Source organism: Homo sapiens, chromosome 12 (genome assembly GCF_000001405.40).
Source record: "Homo sapiens chromosome 12, GRCh38.p14 Primary Assembly".
Classification (NCBI taxonomy): domain Eukaryota; kingdom Metazoa; phylum Chordata; class Mammalia; order Primates; family Hominidae; genus Homo; species Homo sapiens.
This window is the reverse complement of record NC_000012.12, coordinates 130,317,398-130,341,623: the sequence shown is the minus strand read 5'-3', so window position 1 is coordinate 130,341,623 and position 24,226 is coordinate 130,317,398. Positions and strand designations below refer to the sequence as shown.

The 24,226-nt window shown below is 45.5% G+C and overlaps 1 protein-coding gene and 1 long non-coding RNA gene across 11 annotated transcripts in view, besides 1 other annotated feature; one reads left to right on the top strand and one right to left on the bottom strand.

Moving 5' to 3' along the window:
* The window catches only part of PIWIL1 (piwi like RNA-mediated gene silencing 1), an 88,374-nt gene extending 84,637 nt beyond the window's left edge, over nucleotides 1-3,737 (bottom strand). For 3 of the 8 annotated variants that reach the window (XR_007063144.1, NM_004764.5, NM_001190971.2), the window contains exon 1: nucleotides 3,478-3,737. The gene's annotated coding sequence lies outside the window, so the exon portion shown is untranslated. Of the gene's footprint in view, nucleotides 1-1,923; nucleotides 2,205-2,460; nucleotides 2,484-3,452 lie in introns of those variants that run through there. The other 5 variants (XM_011539002.4, XM_047429892.1, XM_011539003.4 and 2 more) reach the window with 4 other exon arrangements.
* Nucleotides 3,738-5,383: 1,646 nt separating this feature from the next.
* LOC101927786 (uncharacterized) lies at nucleotides 5,384-9,431 on the top strand. Of its 3 annotated transcripts, none has more exons than XR_945554.4 (4): nucleotides 5,384-6,304; nucleotides 6,506-6,715; nucleotides 7,820-7,994; nucleotides 8,183-9,425. It is a non-coding gene; the product is annotated as an uncharacterized LOC101927786 (long non-coding RNA). The 3 variants fall into 3 exon arrangements; XR_945553.4 differs by having other exon boundaries at nucleotides 5,384-6,400; XR_242978.5 differs by having other exon boundaries at nucleotides 5,384-6,715; nucleotides 8,183-9,431.
* Nucleotides 6,444-6,613: an enhancer, noted in NCBI's record as "experimental_25825 CRE fragment used in MPRA reporter constructs". NCBI's record gives its function as "activates a minimal promoter by MPRAs in K562 erythroleukemia cells, with activity observed for both the introgressed and non-introgressed 12:130819641 variant alleles {active_cell/tissue: K562}" and the evidence as "EXISTENCE:reporter gene assay evidence [ECO:0000049][PMID:34662402]".
* Nucleotides 9,432-24,226: the final 14,795 nt, after the last annotated feature.

Below are 24,226 nucleotides of genomic sequence, written 5' to 3'. Positions count from 1 at the left end.
ACTGGCCTCTAGTGAGCAGTCAACAAACATTAGCCCTAATGGAAAGGGCAGGTAAAATTATAACTACACGTGTTAATACACGTTATTTACACACAGCTTTAAAAGCAACTTGAAGTCAGCTTCTTAGAATACTACACGAAGGCAGGATGCTAGTAGTGTTATCTTTTTCATATGAAGTAGTTAGATCTTAGGATAAATCCAAAATATCTTTGGTAGAATTCTCTAACACTTGTTGCACCTTGTTATCCACCTCTAACAAGATTTAAGCTGAAACAGAGAATTAGGAATTGGAAGGTAGGGTGGTACCAGTCTTTCACACAAACGGTAACAACCCACACATAAGTGCTTGAACTGGATGCAGAACCAAAAGACGTCCAGTGGGACTGGAAAGAGAAGGGGCAAGGGGAGTGGAGGATTTCATGTGGGCAGGGAGCAGACTGCTCAGGGTCCTGCAGACAGCTTGGATACTCAACACATGAGAAACCATCCAAGGTTCTACATAGGGGCAGGCGATGACATCATCTACCATCACTCTGCCTTAAATCACATTATCTTTTTCATCCTCTGAGTTTTAACAGCTTCTAAAATTCTTGGCTTCATGATCTTCACAGAAAGATAAATCTAATGCCATTTTTCAATTTTAAAAACCTCCGACTTCCTATTGTATTTTACAGGATTAAAGCAAATATTCATTGTATAAGACCCCTTACAATATGACTCTAAATCAGCAATTTCCAAAGGAGTTTACACAGGATAATCCGCTGAGGTGCCAGCATATTACAACTAATTTTAAATCTCATTTTAAACTGCTTTGTATTTATTTTATAATGTGCGCATCATGACAATGATTACGTATGCATGCTCGGCTTACACACGGGGCATACTGGCGCATGAAAGTCTCTTACTGATAATCTACAGGCAGCGTCCCCAGCAGCAGCAGCAGCACCACCACCACCACCACCAACCCCCCTCCCCCCACCCCCCCTCCCCCAACCACCACCACCAACCCCCACGCCCCATGGACCTGTACCGGAACCAGGCCACACAGCAGGAAGTGAGCCGCAGTGAGTGAGCAGGACAGCCTGAGCTCACCTCCTGTTAGATCAGTGGAGGCATTAGATTCTCCTAGGAGTGAGAACCCTACTGTGAAGTCGGCGTGCCAAGGGTCTGGGCTGCCTGCTCCTTATGAGAATCTAATGCCTGATAATCCGAGGTGGAACCGTTTCATCCCGAAACCATCCCTCACCGGTCCGTGGAAAAATTGTCTTCCAGGAAATCGGTCCCTGGTGCCAAAAAGACTGGGGACTGCTGATCTACAAATCAATCTGAAAGCATCCGCTTGAGACTCCAGCAAACACAACTTGCTTCCTATCACTATCAATTCCGTGACTCACCCTACACCGTGGCACACCCTCTGCTAACAAAGCCTCACCCTCCTCTGAAACCACAAGAATCCAGTGAACCGCTTAAGGACCAGCTCGCAGGCCATCCCTTGCTCCCTTCTCCGAAAGCCGTTTCCCCGGCGTGACCACGGTCACCCTACTACATGGTAACCTGTTTTCTCCCTCCCCACATCTCTGCACTCCATAGCTTCTCCAACTAGGCTGCGAATCACAATTGATGCCTTTGCACCCAGTCCGTCGCTTGACACCTTACAAACAACGGTGTGAAACAGTGATTAAAAAACAGTGACAAGCTGAACTCTCATCTCCAGCAGGAAATATTCCTAAAGCAGCACGTCAGTTCTCAAAGCCTGGTCCCTGACGGGCAGCATCTGGACTGGCTGGGAACAGAAATTACGGGGTGGGGAGCGGCTCTCAGCCCTCCCGAGTTAGAAGCCGACTGGAAGCAGCCCTCCAGCTGATTCTCATCATCTCCAGGGCCTGAAACCCACGGCGGCGCGCTGTGCTGGTCACTAAATACCTGGGGGGCTCAGCGCTCTACGTCCAGGTTTCCCAGCACAACTCTGGTTTTCAGCTTTATCTCCTTCCAGTTTCAAAACCACCTCAGTCTGGATATTGAATTCTTAAAGTCAGAAAGCAAGTGTGTGCTTCCAATAACCACACTCGCTGGAAATCACCTCTCCGATTCGCTACCAGCTCTGCCAAAGACGCTTCCACCTAACGTCCCTCCGGCGCTGAGCTCAGGACCACGCCGTGCACGTGGGAACCACCACCGCGCCACACGCCTAAAAACCGTTGAGCGGTACATTCTATGCGAGCGGGGTCTCTCTGGCCACAACTTAAAAACGAAAAGAAAAGCGCTCAGAGAACAGGCTGCGCAGGGGTGCAGCCGGCTTTGCCCTGGAGGCCGCCGGGGCTGAAGACGGCGAGAGCATCCATCCCAGGACGCCACCGCCCCGCCGCCCCTTTCCCTCCACAGGTGCCAAGGGCCGGGCCGCCAGCACCCGCGAGGACCCCCGGGCCTCGCAGAGCCCGGCCGTCGCGGTCGCCGCCTCACTTGGGGTCCTCCGGAGTTCCGTCCTCTTCCCAACGTCCGGCTCCCAAGGCTCCCGGGGGCGCAGCGCAGCGGCGGCGGACGCGGGAAGGGGCCCTCGCCCTCCGCAGAGATCGCGCCCCGCGGCCGCGTGGGTAGTGCGGGAGGTCCCGAAGGCCCTCCTGCAGAGCTCTCAGGTCCCCGCAGTCTCACGCACGGCCGCCAATGCGGAGACCTCCGCCCCCGCACCCCCGGCAACTCAGGCCTCAGCCTCTCACCCCGGCCCCTGCACCTGGGACCTCGCCCCCGCACCCCGGCCCCTGCACCCCCGCACCCCGGCCCTACAGCCCCGGCAAGTCGGGCCTCAGCGCTTCCCCCCGGCCCCGCACCCCCCACACCTGATACATCGCCCCCGCACCCCGGCCCCTGCACCCCAGGCTCCTGCATCTCCCAAACCTGGGACCTCGCCCCCGCACCCGGCTCCTGCATCCCCCGCACCTGGGACCTCGCCCCCGCACCCGGCTCCTGCATCTCCCACACCTGGGACCTCGCCCCCGCACCCGGCTCCTGCATCCCCCGCACCTGGGACCTCGCCCCCGCACCCGGCTCCTGCATCTCCCACACCTGGGACCTCGCCCCCGCACCCGGCTTCTGCATCTCCCGCACCTGGGACCTCGCCCCCGCACCCGGCTCCTGCATCTCCCACACCTGGGACCTCGCCCCCGCACCCGGCTCCTGCATCTCCCGCACCTGGGACCTCGCCCCCGCACCCGGCTCCTGCATCCCTTGCACCTGGGACCTCGCCCCCGCACCCGGCTCCTGCATCTCCCACACCTGGGACCTCGCCCCCGCACCCGGCTCCTGCATCTCCCGCACCTGGGACCTCGACCCCGCACCCGGCTCCTGCATCCCCCGCACCTGGGACCTCGCCCCCGCAACCCGGTCCCCGCACCTCGAGCCTCACCTCCACATCCCGGACCCCCAGCCGCCGCCCCCGCATCCCGGCCCCCGCACACCTAGCACCTCAGCCTGGCCCCGCACCTTGGACCGCTGCCCTCGCCCTAGTCCTGGTCCTTGCACCTCAGCCCGAGGCCAACAGCCCCAACGGCTCCCGCGGAGATCCCTCCGCGCCGCCGACCTCCCAGGACCTCCTTCGGCCCGCGCCCACCTCGCCTTCGGCGCTGGGTTCCCGAGAGAGCCAGGGACACGCGGGCAGCGAGCAACAGGCGCTCTTTTCCCGGGCGGATGAACACCGCCTCCCGGGCGCCGGCCTCGTGTCTGTACGCCATACGCCCAGTAACGGCGGAAAGCGGCGCGCGCCACGCCCTCATTGGCTGCCCCGCAAACGGCGGTTTCTGATGTGGCCGGGGCGGGACCAGAGGAGCCCCGCCCCACAGGCCCCGGCCCCGCCCCTCCAAGACCCCGTCTGGCCCCTCCCGGACACCCGGCACAGGCCCAACAAGCCAGGCCCGCCCCGCCCCACAGGCCCTGCCCCTGGCCCCCCAAGACACCGCCTGGCCCCGGACAGACACCCCGCACATGCCCTGGCCCCTCCCCATAGGCCCCGCCCCCATCCCGCCAAGACCCCGCCTGGCCCTGCCTAGACGCCACGCCCAGGCCCCCACAGGCCCCGCCCCCGCCCCACAGGCTCCGCCCCTGTCCCCCCAAGACCCCGCCTGGCCCCGCCCAGACACCCAACACGTGCCCTGCCCCCTCCCCACAGGCCCCGGCCAGCCCCACCCAGGCCCCGCCCTGTTCCTCTTCTGCTTCGCCCAGACCCCCGGCCTTCCCTGGCTTGACTCCTGCAGTTCCCCCAGTGCCAGCCCCCTGCAGGCGGACACGGGGTCGGGCCAGTTCCCTACTAGCTCGTGGAACTGGGCGGCGGCGCACGAAGTAGACCCTCCATAGACTTCGAAATGGTGCCCACGTGGGCACCGAGCGCCCTACTGTAGCAGTGGACTCGATCTTGGTCTGGCCTTTAACGTCGGAAGCTCTTTCACTCAGCACACAGAGATTTGAACTTTGACCCCAAAGAAAATAAAACTGCAATGCAAGTCTAAGGTGCCAGGAGGCCGTTACCTGGAAATTTAGCTTTCAATGACTTGTGCCTTGGGTGCATGCCAACGTGGACCGCAGGGGTTCTCAGCCTTCACCTGCGGGGGATCACCTGCAGGGCTGGTTAGGACACAGACCAGAGATTCCGGTCTGCAGGCTCCACAGGTGGGCCCCGCCGGCTGCATTTCCAAGGCATCGCAGGTGGTAGCGACCGGGTCTACGCCGAGCTAGGTGCCCTCCATAGGAGTTAATTTCCTCATGGAGGCAAAGTCAACAGCCACAAAACAACCGGAAATATTGTAAGATAGAACAGGTTTATTTGTCAAGGTGGAAGTGGGACTGAGGCTCACTAACTGCCTGACCTGTTATGTTCCATAACTATAAACATGATTGTAGGAGGTAGTAGAAATAGGGTCGCCTCTGCAGACAGGTTTTAAAACTGCATTTATACGGTAAACATAGTGCTTTTCCTTTTTTTTTTTTGTGAGACGGAGTCTCACTCTGTCGCCCAGGCTGGAGTGCAGTGGCAGGATCTTGGCTCACTGCAACCTCCGTCTCCCAGCCTCCTGAGTAGCTGCGACTACAGGCACCCACCACCATGCCCACATAATTTTGTGTTCTTTGTTTTGTTTTGAGACAGGGTCTGGCTCTGTCAGGCTGGAGTGCAATGGTGGGATCATGGCTCCCTGCAGCCTCGACCTCCTGGGCTCAGGTGATCCTCCTGCCTCAGCCTCCCCTGTAGCTGGTACTACAGGTGTGTGCCACCTGTAGTAATTTTTTTGTATTTCTTGTAGAAATACGAGAAATACACCCAGCTAATTTTTTTGTATTTCTTGTAGAAAGAGGGTTTCATCATGTTGCCCAGGCCGGTCTCAAACTTCTGGGCTCAAGTGATCCACCCATCTTGGCCTCCCAATGTGCAGGGATTACAGGCATAAGCCACAGAGCCCGGCCTACATATTGCTTATTATTCATACTTAAAAGCGCATGCCTGGGAATCGGGGGCTGGAGAGGGCTGAAGGCTCCCCAAGCCACCTTCCCAAATCCTACGTCTCATCTGTGCCATGAAAGGGGCAGGTTAGATGTCAGCGTTTCCCACACTAGCCTGAGTGTAAGCATCCACTGAGGGAACTTCCAAATAATACAGACTCCCAGATCACGCTGATTCCAGGAGGTCTGGGACGGGTGCAAGGAATTTCAAGAAGTAACATCAAGTTATTCTTATGCTCAGAGAAGGCTAATAAATTTGGGGCGAGGCCAAAAGGCGTTGGAAGCCAGTAGTTTGAAAGAAAAATAGCTTTCCAAAGGCTTTCGCTTTGTAAAAACTAAATGGTGCCTTTTGGAATACAATGTGAACATAACTTTTCCAAGGATTTAAGGTGTTGATGAGAAAGACATTCTGAGACCTGCCAGCAGATGGAGCCATAAAACAAGAAATAGATGTTTACAGCCTCAACTCGGGAGAAAAATACCGTGAATGCACCTTACACTATAGAAGTAACACTTTTCCCTCTGCTTTATTTTCTCTATATGCTAAACTCCTTACTTGCCTCTGCTAAAGAACATCGCTGGAGTGTCTTGGTGTGTGAAGTATGAAATAGTTTCTAAAGACATAAGTTGTGATATAGCAAGACAGAGGCAAAACCCCTCATTCTTCTGAGAGTGTAAACATCATGTCGCAAGAAGCTCACCTAAAATTTGAAAAGGAAAACTCAACGAAAATTTGAAAAGAAATTCAAGGAAAAAAAAATGTGACCTTTAAAATTTCCATGTTGACAGCACCACCAGGACCCCTTCTGGGATCCGTTGCTAGGTATAACTTCGTGCCTGACTCTGGAAGTTAAAAAATGAATAGTTACAGATTCTTTTTCCGGGAGCCGCCTCTAGAGGGGTGTACCCACCAGGGAAGGTGAGCAGAGTGCCACCAATCCTGTGGGTGCTCAGCGGGAGGTTGCTGAGGGATGCTTCGTGACTCAACGCTGCTGAAGCCCTGAAGGCTGATTTGGGTTTGCAGGGAACAGGAGGATCGGCATGGCGGAGCACGTTGGTCTGAGCACATGTGAGGTGTTTAGAAAACTGCAAGTCATCCAGCACGGGAGCAACGCCAGGCACAGGCAGGGGAGTCGTAGGGGATGATGCTGCAGAAGGGACAGACCGGGTTCTAGAAGTTGGCGAGCAAGGAAATGTGAGCATCTGGACTGCCGAACGCACCCTGTTAAGTGCTGTGAGTAAAACACACTCTGTCCTCCCATTGATGTGAATAAAACACACTCTGCCCTCCCGCTGATGGCCCAACAAGGGAAGCAGGGAGTGTGACAATTGGGAACGTGGATGCTGACCTGAAGGGCCAGTGGCTGCTTAGTCCTAGCCAGTTACCAGGAGAGAATGAGGGCTCAGATTTGCTGGGCCTCACATGATGGCTTTGGTTGTTGTTGTTGTTGTTTTTTTAATTGAGGTGAAATTCACATAACACTACATTAACTATTTTACAGTGAACAATTCCATGATATTTAATGCGTTCATAATGTTACGCAACCCCCCACCTCTAGTTCCAAAACATTTTCATCATCCCAAAATAAAACCGTCACTCTCCATCTCCCTCTTCCCCCCACTACCCTGGCAACCACGAATCTGCTTTCTGTCTCCTTTCCTGTTCATTTCATAGAAACGGGGTCATACACTAGGTGGCCGTTTGTGTCTGGCTTCTTTCACTCAGCGCCGTATTCTCAAGGCTCACCTACGTCGTAGCCCGTCAGAGCTTCCGTCCTCCTTACGGCTGGATCTTACTCTGCTGTTTGGACGGACCACATTTTGTTTATCCACTCATCCATTGGTGGACAGCTCAAACGTTTTTAAAGGGGAGCAGGAAACTTGGACATTTTCCGGTGCGTTTTTAGGAATGGCCACCAGTGCTCTCTAGTGTTGGGCAGAGGAGCATCCCAGGGAAGGGAAACAATGGAAGATACTCAGAGAACAGAAAAATCCCAAGTTACTTCATGTAAAGCTGAAAATATGATCTGGGTAGATTATGCTGGGGGTGACAGGGACTAGATGGAAAAGAAACTCATCATGAACCCTGCATGCTGTGTCCAGAGCTTTGGACTATATTCTGTAACCAATCAGTTTCCCAAGTTTTTAAAGCAGAAAACCACATACTCAGAGCAAGCTTTGACCTAGTTCCTTTCATTCAAGGATCTCAAAGCCCCTTTAAACCCATGATCCAGATTTTGTTTGTAAAGGAAGAGATGGAGTTGAAAAACAAGATCTAAGGCAGTTCCTATGAATCCCTTCAATGTAATTTTTCAGAGCATTTCCCTTCTCCCTTCAGACTCATGTCGTTCTGATTGGGCTGAATTGAAGAGCTGCCCAGCCTCTCCCCTGGCCCTGAGACCCCTGACCTAGAGGGACTAACTAGAGGGACGGCATGGCAATGGCAAGTGTACCCAAGACAGCATGCCCGGAGGTTTATCCAGGAATATTCATCCAGAGGGAAAGAGCAATGGGTGAGGCTGAAGTTCGTCTGTTCTCTTATATACAAAATGTGAACAAATCCTGAATATCACAGTCTGGCCACAAGGGGGATGTTTTGGGGTGGGCAGGGTGACGGAGGCAGGGGGTCCTGACTTGGCTCCCCAGGAAGTGGGTTCTGTTCTGTTCGCTTAAGCTCTCTGCATTCTTTTTTCCACGCTAGACGATGAGCATGTTGGACCAGATGGGCACGTGTCCAAGTGCACCCTATGGAATGTATCAGCATCGGCCTCGCCTGGAAGCCTGATAGAAATGCAGATTCCCAGGCCCTGCCCAGGCCTGCTGTATCCGGATCTCTTGGTGGTGGAGCCCAGGGATCTGCATGTCACGAGCTTGCTCAGAGTATCTGTGAACTGAGTTCAATCCACAGCCCTCTACTCCAATGCTAGCCAGACCCTGGGGCCATTGCCTCTCCCCCCACATGCCCCTCCATACTGTCAGCACCTCTGCATTGTGGCCTTTCTGCCACCCCCAACCGACTTGGGGATCCCAACCACCCACACCCAGGGGCCTGCACCAGACTGCAGAGTGTTGCCTGAGGGGACACAGTCCACAGTCATCCTTTTCTCCTCTCCTTCCCAGTTAATTCCATTTTCCACGCCTCTCATGGCGATTCCTGATCTTCACAGGCCCCAGAGCCTCTGACCCTGGTGTTCCCCCTGAGAAAATGAGGCCAGGGTTTGTGAGCTGCCCATGCCACACCTGTGCCTGCCTCATCATGTGGAGTCCCTTTAGCTCAGCTCTAGGGTCCCCCTTCTTGCTTCCTCAAAGATCCTCCTCTCTCCCAAGTTCCTCTTCTTCTTCTCAATACTTCTCTCTTCTGGGGCTTCCTCCTTGACACGTCAATGTTGTCTAGCTGTCTTCATCAATTTTCTTTATTATTTTATTTGTATATATTGTATTTTATTTTAAGACAGAGTCTTGCTGTGTCAGCCAGCCTGGAGTTCAGTGGTGCAGTCATAGCTCACTGCAGCCGCGACCTCCTGGGCTCCTGTCTCTTGAGTAGCTGGGACAACAGGCATGGGCTACTACAGCTGGCTAATATTTTCTTTTTACTTTTTAAGAGACAGGGTCTTACTAGTCATCCTCGTCTTTAAGAACGAAGCAAAACAAGGGTCTCGAAGAGATATTTGTACCCACTGTTCATAGCAGCATTGTTAAAGAGTTAATATGTGGACCCAACCCAAGTGTGTTTCCATTGATGAATAATGAGCAGAACGGGGTCATCCGTGCAGTGGGTATTACCAGCCTTAGAAAGGACGGGAATCCCGACGCACCCTGCAACATGGATGAACCTAGAGGACATTAAGCTCAGCGAAGTAAGCCAGTGACGAACAGACAAATATCATTCCACTTCTAAGAGGCACTTAGTGTTGTCAAAGTCAAGGACAGACAGTAAAGCAGGGTTGCTGGGGCTGGGGGAGGGGAACGGGGTTGGTGTTTGATGGGGACAGTGTTTCAGTTTTGCAAGATGGAAGGAGCTCTGGTGTTGGTGGTGGTTGTCTGACATTACGACATTATGAATGTATTTCATACCATTGCGCTGTACACATAAAAAGGATTAAAATGGCAAATTTTATGTTCTGTGTATTTTGCCACCATAAAAACAGTTGGGGGGGAGAAAAAGAAGTAAAACAAAAATGAATCCCTACGGCTCCTCCTTTCCTCTTTTCCCTCCAGAGTCCATCTCCTTGAAAGAATGGTTTCTTAGGCCCCACGTCCACATCTTGCCCTCCCACAGTGTGGTTTTGATTCTCAGAGGCCTCCGTGGGCTCCAGAACCCTCTTGGTTTCTAATCCCAGTGGCTCCTTTCAGACAACCTGTCTTCCCTGGGACACATGAGTGTTGCTCAGCCTGCCCTATCCATCTCAGCACCATCCCCCTTGCCCTCTGTGATACGGCTTTCTTCCTCCAGCTATAGCCAGTCATTGCAGCTACCCACAGGAGTTTGCCCTTCTCCCGCCTCCTCATGCATACGCACTGACAAAGCGGCTCTCCAAGTCCAAGTGTGGCTTGGAGCTCCAGCAGCACCGAGACCTGTTGGACATGCAACTCCTTGCCTCCCAGCCCTGACCTGCTGAATCCAAAACCCTGGGGCTGAGCCAGCCGTGTGTGTTGCCAACCACGTTGGTTCCAGTCCATTCGGGTTCACCCTGCAGTCGAGAACCACTGGGCTAAGCGAGCTCACCCTCGGAGCTCAGGAGTGACACTCAACATCCTCCCGCTGTCAGGATTCTCAGGCCTCTGCAGCTGAGCGGCCCTGGACGACTCTGGCCCGTGTTAGCCCCTGCAGTTTATATGCGCATCTCCCAGCGGCCCTGGCCCTCCCCTCCTAGCACTAGGCCCGGTTGCTTTGCCAGTGGCCTCTAGAGCAAGACATGGAAGGTCACCGCAGGAGGCAAAGGGAGAGCTTCTTAGAACAAAGTTGATTCTAAAAATAAGAAAATAAGTTGAGCTGTAATATATGTAAGATGCGGGGGACGCCCGTACCCTCCTTTGGTTCCTGCGTCTTGTGCATAATGGCTGTGTCCAGGGTGGAGGGTGGGAGCCCCACCGCATGGCGGGGTTGGTAGCCCCCATCTCTGACTCGTAGCCAGCCTCTGGTGACCTGCTGTGGCCTGGTGGGCCCCGTCAGCAGCGGCTGGGATTACTAACCCAACTCTCTCTAGACCAACCTTCACAAAAAGAAATGGTTGGAAAAGATTCCTCTGCAAAGAAATAACGGGTGGGGGGACATACGGAAAATGCAAACATCAGCAAACCCCAAGAAATGGTTAGAGCTGATACCTGCATTTCTTTCTACTCCTCCTGCAAGCTTTCGGCAGATGGAAAGGCTGAGTTATTTTCATTTCACACAGTTAAACGGAAAAGAAATAAGTATCACTCATAATTATGGTAGTGAGAAAAAGTTCTTACCAAATGAAAATGTTTATTTAATTCACTGTTATTTTATTTTTAATCTTTAATTAGTGGTGTATTTTATTATGTGCCTAATACTGTGGCATGTTGCAAATAGGTATAGTGGCATACTGCAACTAAATATAAATATATTGGATGCTCATGCTCAAAACTTTCTGTTCTGGTTGCATGATCAGAAGTATTTGGGGATTGCTAGGCTGCCAGGTCAAACCCACGTTCTGTGGTGTGGCTTGGCCCCCCTCCATCGGCCTGTCCGACTTTGCTCCTTTCCCAGGCTCTCCCCAAATCTGGATTCCAAGCTCCTGCCATAGAGAGCTTCGAAATTCAGCTCCTGGGCGCTTCCTCCATGAGGTTTTCTTTCCTTCATTTCCCTCTCTGTGGATCAGCATCCCTGCAGTGAGGGCCTCTCCTCTGTGGTTTTACCTTACCAGCCTTTCTATGTCTCTCCAATAGCATTTATCACACCACAATTGTAAGTAAACACGTACTTAACCCGTTTCCTTCATTATTGGGAAAACACGTTGAGGACAGAATCCTGGTCTTACTCAACATTGCGTCTGGTTCCTGGCATTCCGAGGGTCTCAGGAAATATTTCTTGAATACTTGAATGTACATAATAGTGTTCAGCTTTATGCAACACCTTTGCACGACAAAGTATTCACACTTTGTCCATTTCCATTCTTGTGTACCTCTCAGAACTCAGGCCAAGGGCAAAGTCACTGGCCTTTGGCATTCTTAATTTTTATATACCTGTTGTGTTCATTTCTTCTTCAAATATTGCATCCTTCTCTCTGACCATTTCCTCCCCAAGAGCTGTGTAGTTTTGTTTTGGAGTGGCCATAACTACTGGCTGTTATGCCCAAATTAGTTTGAACACAGTTTCCTGGCACCAGAGACACCCAAAGACTGTTTACTACCTTTTTTTTAAATTGACATGTCATAGTTGTACACATTTTGGGGGTACTTACAATATTTCATAGGTTCGTGCGATGTCTACGGATCAAATCGGGGTAACTGGGCTGTCCCTCGCCTCACACAATCGTTCACTGCCTCCTCTGCTCTCAGAACTCAGCATATTGTGGGGTGGCTACCACTGCCTTGAGTAACTCAGGGTTGCTTTGAAATTATTCTAAACAAATGTGGCAGCTCCAAAACCTTTGCCAGTAAATGGTGTATTTTAGACCTCAGCATGTGAAACAATCCTGGCCAAAGACATATAAGAGGATTTTGTCTGGGGTCATTAAAGGAAAAAAAAAAAAAAAAGGAAAAAACAGGACGTAACAAAGAGATGGTCTCTTCCTGCCTCTGGACTTTGAAGTATGTGGTGCCCAGAGCTGCTCTAGACCTCCTGGGACCATGACCAAAATTCCAAGAGATAAATTTTCTTTATTGGTCATGCCAGTTACACTTGGGCTTTCTGATGGTGCAACCCAGGACACCTTAACGGAAGACGCAGCGGGTCCCACCTCAGGATGTGCAGCAGGGCTGCCCGGGAGCTAATTAAATATGAGGATCTCTGGACCCAAGCCCAAACAACTGAACCAGTCCCCAGAGACAGCCATCTGAAGGTTTAAGAGGCTCTCCGGTTGATTCTGATATCAGTTGGTCAAGATCAAACTTTGAGAAACACTGCCAAATTATGTTTTCAGAGTAATGTGTTTCGAAGCAGAAATGAAATTCGGAATTCAGTTGGGGACACATTCAGTTTGGGCAAATATGCAGTTTACCTTGGTGAACTTCAGGGGTGACTGTTTTGCGGTAAACAAATGCCTTAAAATGAGCAATTCTGTTGTATTTATCCATCCATCACTCATCGGCCTCTAATCTGTACAAAGCCAAACTCTACCTTGTCCAAATTACTTTAACTGTTAGTAGAAATAATCACAAAGTTTCAGTATCTGCAGCATGCAGATAATTCACATAAGAGATTACTTTGAAAAATTATCAGATTAAGACTCATATTGCCTCAATTGGTAATACTGAAATCACATACATAGAATTAAAATTGTTGATATAGATTTCCATTTCTCCCCATGTTTAGTCACACAGGTACCCTGGATTTTGCACTGGTGTAAAATATATTTCTTCTGGAAATTGTTGAGTGTATGAACCGACCGGTAGCAGAGGTGGAACTGATTTGGGATGTGATATGCCAACCTCATCTACATTACTATTTAATTAGTCACCTATTGGTGCCTTTGAAATTTCACCCATCATCACTTCAATTCTTTAAACACCAAGAGCTAAAGGAAAGTGCCTGCAGTTTTGGTTGCTATAAATCATGTGGAGCTGTTTGACAGGATGCATCACTGCACAGGGTATGGGTTTTCTTCCTGCGCAGATCAGAAGTGTCCTAGAAATTTACACTGAAAACGGAACTTTGGGATGACAGGTACAGTGTGGTGAGCAGAGGTCAGACTCTAGTGTGAGACGAAACTTGGATTGAGTCTGCGAGATCAGTAGGATCATGAAAATTAAATGAGATAAGGTACATAAAGCGCCCAAAACTATTCCTAGAATGTCGTGTGTACACAACACACTTTACAGGTCAAGCTACGAATGGGTTTATAAGCCTGCATTATAGGTAGAGAAAGTGACAGTTACTTTGGCTTTATTGATCACAATGAACACAAAACGTTATTCATGTGATGAACGATGGTGCATGGGGAAATTGTACTATGTTAAATTTCGTTAATGAGAATGCTGGATAATGCAATCTTAATTGAGTTGAAGTTTATCTTTGTACTTCAAGGAGGGTTTCAGATGCAAATCAATCCTCCAAACAAGATTGCAGAGACAGATTTAACCAACTTAAGAGAACGACTGTTCTCGAAGAAACGGCGTATTGGATCGCACAGGAACTGCTCATCGTGAGTTACTTTTATCTGTTTCAGCAGGATCTGTATTTGCAAACCCATCATTAGCAGTTTATCCTTGTTGCCACGTATATTTAAAATCAGTCCAATTGCTTTTTAGAGAAAACATTCCAAAAGGATTAAAAAAAAAAAAATCAGTTGCCCTTTCATTTAATCCTGATTAGTTACACTTTATGCCTTTTAAAATAGTCAAAACAAATAATGATACTATACAAAGTTTGGGAAATAGAGGAAAAAGCTCACCTATAATTTCCAAAAGCTGATAATGCCTTCAAGCTTCATTTATGTATTCTTATCTGTGATTTTTCCCTATATTTTTACATATTTTCAGTCTTAGCTTATCCATACAATTTTATAACCCACTTTTCCTCTTATCATATACTAATTGTTATATAACTTTCAAATTACCATTTTGATGACTTAACTATTAACTGAATTTACCCAATGTTGAAAAACTGTCTCCTTTCGATTGGATTTTTATATTGATTCCAGATTTTCAACATTATAATCGATGCTATATTTCACATGTGCTTTTTTTTTTCTTTTGAAAATATCTTGAGGACAAATTCCCCAGAGCATGGTGCTCCATCTCAGCAAAATGTTCATTTTCATGACCCTTTGCACATTGTAAAATTGCTTTTCAGTAAGAGTGGAGCTAATCCACACTGCCACTAACCAATATAGCAGTTTTACTGCATCCTGTCTAGCTCTAGGTATTACCGTTTAGCAAGATGTGTAATCCCACTGAAGGACACAAGACAAGATGCGAACCAAGGGAAGGAGATATCAAGTTCTTGGCTGGGAAGGTGACTATCTGAAACGTTATTTCTTCTAAATTAACTTACAAATTAAAAGCTATTCCAATTAAATTTTGTACTGGACAGATTTTTAAAATTATATTTATATGGAAAATAAATTAGAATACTTATTTAAAAAAAGGAAAAAGATGATAAGCACTAGCTTTCTTATCGAGTATGAACATCAGATTCAAAACAATACAGAAGTAACACTGGAATAGATAGACCAGAAGAGAATAATAGGGAGATAAGAAATAGACACTGGCATAAATGGGACTTTGATATAGCAAAAGCCATGTTTCAATTCAGTGGGAACAAGATAGATTTTTTGATAAAGGACTGGTGCAACTAACATAGCATCTAGAGAAAAATCACATTGTATTTCTAGCTTCCACTGTATACAAAATCTAACTTTTGGTGGATTAAGATTTACATGCAAGGAATAAACAACATAAGCATTTGAAGAAAAGTTGGGAGAGTATCAATTGCAACATAGGAATTAAGGAGGTTTTTGTGACTTAGAAAACCTAGAAATTATAAGAGAAAGTATAAACACATTTACAAATTTAAAAATTTTGTATGGCACCAGGTACCATGAATAAAATACATGAAAAAATGATGTTTTGAGGCAAATACCTGCAGCACAGAAGACAGACAAAGGGTTCATGTCTATAATATACAAAGAGTTCTTGCAGTTCAATAGGACAGCCAGACAAGGATATAAACAGACATCTCATAAAGGAGCATAAGAAAACGGCCAATGTGGAGTCTTGCTCTGTTGCCCAGGCTGGAGTGCAGTGGGGCGATCTTGGCTCACTGAAACCTCCACCTCCAAGGTTGAAGTGATTCTCCTGTCTCAGCCTCCTGAGTAGCTGGGACTACAGGTGCCCATCACCACACACAGCTAATTTTTGTATTTTTAGTAGAGATGGGGTTTCACCGTGTTGGCCAAGCTGGTCTCAAACTCCTGACTTCAGGTGATCCACCCGCCTTGGCATCCCAAAGTGTTGGGATTATATGTGTGAGCCATGACACCTGGCCTCCAATATGATATTAAACCTCTCAAATAGTCTGTAGGATACAAAAGACAGTGACATCAGGGATAAAACGAAGACTGCATGTTAGAAAAGAGGTCACAATCAAAGACTGCCAATCAAAATGACATTAGACTACTCAACATCAACACTGAAAGCTAGAATTCAGGGGAGGATATATTCCACATCCTGAGGGAAATGATTTCCACCACAGATTGCCCTACCAAACCCCATTCATCAATCAAGCCCAGGGTAGAATAAAGACATTTTGAAACATGCAAGTAATTAATCACTTACTTCCCTTTCTCAGAAAGCCATTGCAGGGTGTGTTTTACATAGGCTAATAGATAAAAGAATTTCCAGGAAGATAGTTAAAAGAAGACTTGAGATGAGAGAAACCCCATCTCTACTAAACAGTAAACAGTCTTAGAAAGCCAGTGATTCTGGGAATAGTAGCAAGCCTCTTCTCATGTCTCAATGGCCAGAAATGTGTATTGTATCTTTGTATGAGCTAATCACTAGCAAGGGAGTGACATATTCCTAAAACCAGTGAGGGCCAGCCTCAGGTCCATGGTTGAATGGGAAATGGATTCAATAAAGTCAGGTTCTCCTAGGAAGGAGGAAGAGGATATTGGATGTTGGTTGGGCCATGGACAATACTGCGACAAGCACTCCAATCATATGTTGATATGTACGTGTGTGTGTGTGTATTTATTTTCCAGTTATTGATTCTCTTGTAATGAACTGTCTATCTAGCTTTGTGTCAGTGCTACACTGTTTTAATTATTATTGTTTTATAATGTGTTTTAATATCTGATAGAACTTGTCATCCACTTTAAAAATTTTTCTTTCCAGAATATTGTTTTATATTGTTGTTCTTTCTTCTAGATAAGACATAGAATTATTTCATCAAGTGGGTAAAGCTGCACATATTGGATTCAAACAGACCTGAGTTTGAGATTGGCATAAGATAGGACTGTTTATTAGCTTTATTCCTGGGGAAAGTTTCTTATCTGTGTAAGCCTAAGTTTTTTCATTTATAAAATGAAAATAATACTAGCTAAATTAGATAAAATGAACAAATTCATAGAAAGACAAGAACTACTAAAACTGATTCAAGAAGAAATAGAAAATTGGGTAGACTTATAACAAGTAAAAACTTTGAGTTAATAATTTAAAAACTACCTACAAGAAAAAAACTCAGGTCCAGATGGCTTCACTTGTAAATATAACTGCAAATTAAAAAGAGAATTAACATAAACTTTCACAAATGTTTACCAAAAAAAGAATAGGAAGGACTATTTCCCAAGTTTTTTAATGAGGCTAGTATTACCATGACAGTAAAACCAGTCAAATATTTTACAAGAAAACTGTAGACCAATATTCCTATGAATACAGGTGCAAAAATCCTCAACAAAATATTAGCAAGCTGAATTCAGAAACATATAAAAAAGATCACACACCATGACCAAGTGGAATTTATCCAAGGAATGAAAGGTTGATTTAACATCTACAAATCGACTAATGTAATACATTGTATGAATAGATTAAAGTACCCAAATCACATGGTCATTTCTATGAAGAAAAAGTATTTGACAAAATTCAACATTCTTTCATGATAAAAAACACTCAACAAACTAGCATTGGAAGGGAACTTCTTCAATCTCAAAAAGGAAATCTATAAAAAAAATCCACAGCTAATATCATACTCAGTGGCAAAAGACTGAATGTTCTCTTCTTAAGATCTAGAAGGAGAGAAAGTTGTCTGCTCTCACCATTCCTATTCAACAATGTCCTAGAGGTTCTAGCCAGGCTAATTAGGCAAGAAAGTTGAACAAAAGGCATCCAGATTGGAAAGACAGTAGTAAAACTATTTCTGCTTGCAGATAATGTGATATATATGGAAAATCCTCAAAATTACAGTAAAAATCTATTAGAACTAGAAACAAGTTCATCACACAGTATACAACATCAGTTCCGAAAATCAACTATACTTCTTCTAAACACTAGTAATGAACAAATCAGAAATGAAATTAAGAACACAATTTTGTTTATGAGCACATTAGAAAGCATAAAATAATTAGGAATAAATTTACCAAATGAACCACAAAACTTATACTCTGAAAATGAAGAAATATGGTTGAAAGAAATTAAGGAAGACCTAAAGAAATGGAAGGATATTCAATATTCATGAGTCAGAGGCTTACTATAGTTAAAATGGAAATATCTGAAATTGACCTACACATTCAATAAATCTCTGTTGAAATACAAGCTGGCCTCTTGGCATAAACTGACAAGCTGATTCTAAAATTTATAAGAAAATGCAAGAGATCAAGAAGAGCCAAAACAATTTTTAAAAAGTAGATCAAGTTGGCAGGTTCATAATTCTCAATTTCAAAATTTACCACAAAGCAACAATAACCAAAACATTGTAGTTCTGCCATTAGGATAGATATAGATCAATAAAATTTAATTGAAGATTCAACAGTTAATTCTCACATTCACAGTCAAATAACTTTTGACAAGTGTGCCAAGACCATTTAGTGGGGAAAGAATAGGTTTTTCAACAAACAATGATGGAAAAACTGAATATCCACATGCAAAAGGATGCAGTTGAATATCTACCTCACACCGCATACAAAAATTCACTCAAAATAGATCAAAACCTAGAAGCAAGAGCTGAAACTATAAAACTCTTAGAAGAAAACATAGGATTGTATCTTCCTGACCTTGGATTAAGAAATGATTTTCTAGATATGACAATAAAAACACAAACAAAATAAAAAAAGATAAATTGAAGTTCATCAACATTAAAAATTGTGTGCTTAAACAAGAAAGTGAAAGAATGGGAGAAAATACTTATAAATAATCTGATGACGGAATAGCATCTAAAAGATATAAAGAATTCATACAATTCAATAATAAAAAGACAATCCAATGAGCGAAGGATCTGAACAGAGAAAGAAGGTACACAAATGCTGATAAGCACACCAAAAAATGCTCAGTATCATTATTATCAAGAAAAATAAAATAAAAAGTACAATGAGATACCACTTCATATCCATTAACATGATTATGATAAAAAGAACAAGTGTGAGTGAGGACATGGAGAAACTGGTTCTTCTGTACACTGCTAGTGGGAATGTAAAATGATGCAGCTATTTTGGAAAATAGTCCAGAAGTTTCTCAGTGGTTAAACATAGCGATACCACAGGACCCAGCAATTCTGCTCCTGGATTTATATCCAAGAGAAATAAAAACATATATCCAAGCAAAAATGTTTACATTAATATTCATAACAATATCATAAATAATCCACCCAAGTGGAAGCAACCCAAACATTCATCAACTGGATGATGAAGAAAGTGTGGTGGACCCATACAATGCAATATTATTCAGCAGTACACAAGATGAAGGACTGCTATATGTCACATCACAGATGCGTCTTGAACACATTATGCCAGGTGAAAGAAGCCAGTCACAGAGAACCACATATTGAAAGTTTCCAGTGATATGAAATGTCCAGAGTAGGCTAACCGATAGGGACAGGAATTAGATTAGTGATTGCTTAGGGCTAGGCAGATTGAGTTGAAATGAGAAGTGACTTTTAATGTGTACGTGGTTCCTTTTGAGGGTGATGAAAATGTTCTAAAATAGTGGTGATGATTGCACAACTCTGAATATACTAAGTCATTTGTTTTATACCTTAAATTATACCCTTGATGAGTGAATTGTATGATATATATAATAAAACTACTATAAAAATGGAAATAATTGTCCATAGGGTTGTTATGAAGATAAAATGAGATAAAATTTAAAGAAATGCTGAACACCATATCTGTTGCACCCTGGACACTCTTTAAAGGATAGCTGTTACTGTTAATGCTACTGTGACACCACCGTTAAGCTCCAAGAAAAGTTCTGTTGTAATTGGTCATGTCAGAAACCTGTATGTTGATTTGGGAAAAATGGACATCTTCATGAATTTTCATTGTTCCATCCAAAACGATGGTGTTTCATTCCAATATCTGTTTTACTTTAGCTCATGTAGATCATCTACACTGGATCCTGGCACTCGATAGAAAATCCTCCTATGATCTCCGCATGGGCCCCAAGGCTCAGCCTGTCCTGGGCGCTGTCACCTTCCTTACCTTTCTCCATTGTCCCCAGCCACAGCAAACCGGACTCGGCTCCTTTCCCCACTATGAGCTCTCTCTCATATCAGGATTGCTGCAGGTGCCATTCCTTCTGCCTGGAACACTCTTCCTGCCTCCCACTTGCCCTCAGATCCAATGATATCATTGATCAGCTATAAACTTTGCTTCCATGTCCAGCATTGTTCATCATCATTAGCTTCAGCTTAAACGATGCCTTTCTTCTTTCATCATCGCCATCACCATCATAACCAATGTGTACTGAATATTTGCAGGTATCAGGCACCGGGCTGAGTGGTTAAGAATGTTACTCCTGGGAGCTAAGTGCTGCACTCATCCTTGCTTCACAGATGAAGAAACTGAGACTTGCATGGATTAAGGAACTTGTTCAAGGGCACCACACACTTAGAATCAACAGCTTGTGAGTCCAGTTCTCTTTGGAGCCTCAATGCATGTTCTTAATAGCTAAATGATTAATAAATGATTAAGCCCAAAGACCCCGTCCACGTGTTTGTATTTCTCTACCTAAATCAATACACATATATTTCAGTGCATAGTAAATTGATGCATTGCGATCATGTTGACACAATTCTCTATAGTCGATGAGTCTGTTTGAGTCTATCAATATAATGATATGATATTTGTAGATTCATATAAAGTAATTCATGTGGCTGACATGTATTCTTTGGTTCTAAAGACAGATGGCTAGATTTTTGGTTTGGTGTAGTTTAAAAATACACCCTTGATGAGTGTAATACCATAATGAAGAAGGCACCTCATTGTTTGAAAGTCAAGGTTATTAATGTATGCAAATATACCAATTTTACAGATATATATCTAACTTTTTTTTTTACATTTACATTTGGGATCTTAGAATATTTCCCGAATGTAGCCTCATTCTCATAATTATTCTTTTCATTTGGATTAGGTTTATTTCTTCTCTATGCCAATCCGTTTTGTTCCTCAAGGAGATCTGACATATTTAAATCAAGGGAATATTAATACATTCCTAAAAACTGAGTTGATAACAGTTGAGAGCTAGATAACTGATAATACTGTTCAAATTTGGCTTTTATTAATGCACTCTAGGGACAGTTGTGTTTGAGTCAACCTCCAGCTAAAATGATAGAAAACAGATGTCCTTAAAACAGGCTATGTGAAAACAACAGAAATGTCCATTCGGAGGAGAATGTTGGAATAAATTACAGTATGTACAGCAGTAATATCTGCAGCCACTAAAAATTATGTGTAGGTCTATGTTTACTGGCATCAAAAAATACACAATTTATTGTTATTGGTAAAAGATAGTTGTGAACTTGCTTGTATTATATGACCTCTTCTTAGAATATATGTCCTCTCCCCTTCCCTCCCCTCTCATCCCCTCTCCTCTCCTCCCATTCCTGTCCCTCTCTGGCCCTCCCATTTGCTCTCCTTCCTTCCCCTCCTGTCTCCTGCCTTATTCTTGGCTCCTCTACTTTTTCTCTCCTGTATTTCATTCTGTCTCTCCACGTATTTAGAACTACTCCCCGTGTGTGTGTGTGTGTGTGTGTGTGTGTGTGTGCATGTGGCATGCATGTGCATGCATATTGCAGTGAATCTATAGATCTGGAAGGTCGGATATTCTGGAGAGTAGCAGTATTCATGCTTATTTTCCACTGAATGCGTTTTGTATCATTTTTTTGTGAAAATACATTCCTTTTAAAATGATAAAAATAAAAGAACAACAGTTTATTTCCATTAAAAGATAATCAAGCAGTAGCTGTTGATGTCAGCTTAGGGGATCAGAGGTTTTAATTGTGTTTTCATTTTCATTGTAAAGGGCGGGAATCCAGCCACCAAATCAAAATCACGGTGACCCTTTGAAAGAATGACATTTAACATGTCGAGACTGAGCTCACAAAGAGGTTACAGAGCTTTTCAACCATAATTTGATTGCTCCAATATCAATATAGATGAATATTTCATCAAAACGGAGCACAGTTATGCACAGCATGGTCCCTCCTGATAGTACTGAACTTGCCCTGGGCGGTTTCCCTACAGTGAGAATTTTATTATATAGTAGCCTGCCGAGCTCTCCTGGGGGTCAGGGGGTTAAAGCTACAGAAATATGATTTGAGAATCATCTGAGCTCAGCTTTGTTGGAAAGGTAAAGAGAGGGATTCACAAAGCCTTTTTACGATGTTATTTAAATGCCCTGCGATGGGGGTGGGGTTGGGGGAGCAGGGATAGGAAGTCTAATCACAACCAAACCTGTCAACACCAGTGTTGTGTTCACGAAATACTCAGGATGCCACGTGCCCACCCCAGCCCCAACTCCGCAAAGTTCTATTTCCAGATATGGATTGTTTTTAGTTTGAAATGGTTGAAGGCCTCTCCCTGGCCTCTCCCACTTCATTAAATGCTACAAATTAAAACAAATGTCCATGAATACTGTCCTCCCTTGGTGTTTCATTTGTCACAGCGTTGGGCAACGGTGCCAGCTCCGGAGTTTTCATGATAAGACCGGGGTGGCCATGGATTTTGGGGCAGTGGCGTTACCTCTGTGCATATCAAGAAGCTGTTTATACTTCAATTTTATGCTCATCTGGGGCGACTCTGGTGGGAACTAAGCTATATCCCATCCCCAGGTGCTCTGTCTTGGAGTCCCCTTGCTGCCTGTTCCAAAGAGTGGAGCCTGTATCTTGAGGGCAGTGCTAGGTGCCAGCAACAGGCACTGGTGTTTAGGTATAGCTGGTGACATTCCAGAGAAGCTGGTGACGTGCCATTTTTTTTTTTTTTTGAGACAGGGTCTTGCTCTGTTTCCCAGACTGGAGTGCAATGGCATGATCACGGCTCACTGCAGCCCCAACCTCCCGGGTTCAACCAGTTCTTCCACCTCAGCCTTCCAAGTAGCTGGGACTACAGGTGCGCACCACCCCTCACAACTAATTTTTTTTTTTGAGATGGAGTCTTGCTCTGTCACCCAGGGTAGAGTGCAGTGGTGCGATCTTGGTTCACTGCAACCTCTGCCTCCTGGGTTCAAGCGATTCTCCTGTCTCAGCCTCCCAAGTAGCTGGGATTACACACACACACCGCCACACCTGGCTAATTTTTGTAGTTTTACTAGAGATGGGGTTTTGCCACGTTGGCCAGGATGGTCTTGAACTCCTGACCTTGGGCCCCCCTTGGCCTCCCAAAGTGCTGGGATTATAGGCATAAGCCACCATTCCCAGCCTCCTCCCAACTAATTTTTGTGCTTTTTATTGAGATGGGGTTTCACCATATTGCTCAGGCTGATCTCAAACTCCTGGGTTCAAGTGATCCTCCCATCTTGGCCTCCCAAAGTGCTGGGATTACAGGCGTAAACCACTGTGCCCAGCCTACCTGCCATTTTATATACAGTTTTCCCCAAACAAATCCACAGTTCACCTCACTGGATCCTACCAGATGAGCCGTGGCCGGTGGTTACTTGGGAAGGCTTGGCTTTGAGATTTACTTTCTTGCAGCCTGTGGTTTTCTGTTTCTGGCTTGTGTGTGTGTGTGTGTGTGTGTGTGTGTGTGTGTGTGTGTGTGCATAGTTTGGTTCACTTTCCTATCACTTCCCTGTTGCTACAATAAGTTGTTTCCCTTATATGTCATCTCAAAATAGAAATAGAACAAAGAAAACAGGACACAAGAAATCAGGGAATTTTCCAAAGGCACATTTGATGTGCAAGTGTAAACAGGAATGAGATGCCAGGGGAGATCGGAATTGTCAGCATAGACAGCTGTTAGTGGGTGTTGTCGGTGGCACTCAGGGAGATGGAGCTGTCTGCGAACTTGCAAAGGAAGAGGACACAGGAAAGGAGAGGGTGCAAGGAAAATTCCGCCTTTCCGTTGCTGCTTCAAGTTACATTTGTACTTGCAGACTTGAGTAAATGTCTGATTTATTCAACTTTACCAGTAGGAGTTAGTTCAAATACATGGGGCAGGACATTTACAAAAGTCTGGACACTTCGTCTCTGAGTGATTTTCAAGGTGTGAAGACTTGGACTCAACTCTAACTGCAGGCAGAGGAGTGGGAGACGTTCCCAGGCCACTGAGGATAAGGTTCAAGTGTTGGAGGTTGCAGTGTCTTTGCATGCTGCTGAGTCAAGCTGGATTTTGACACAGCCTGGTTTTATTTAAGAAAAGCTGGAATAAATAACAGGGTCAGGGGTGCATTCGGGTGTCAGGAGTTATGGAGAAACAACCACAATCCTGGTATTCACTCGATTTTTATCGGGAGACCACAGCATCTCCTATGCTGTGTTAAATATACTCTAGAAGATCTTGGGCCAGAAGCCAGAAACAAACATTTCTGGTGAGAGCAAATGGTGTAAAAATGGGAGGGGAATAAAGGAAAAGGAAAGGGAAATTCTCATGACACCTTTGAACTTGAATTTCCTGCTTTATTCAGCTGATGTAAC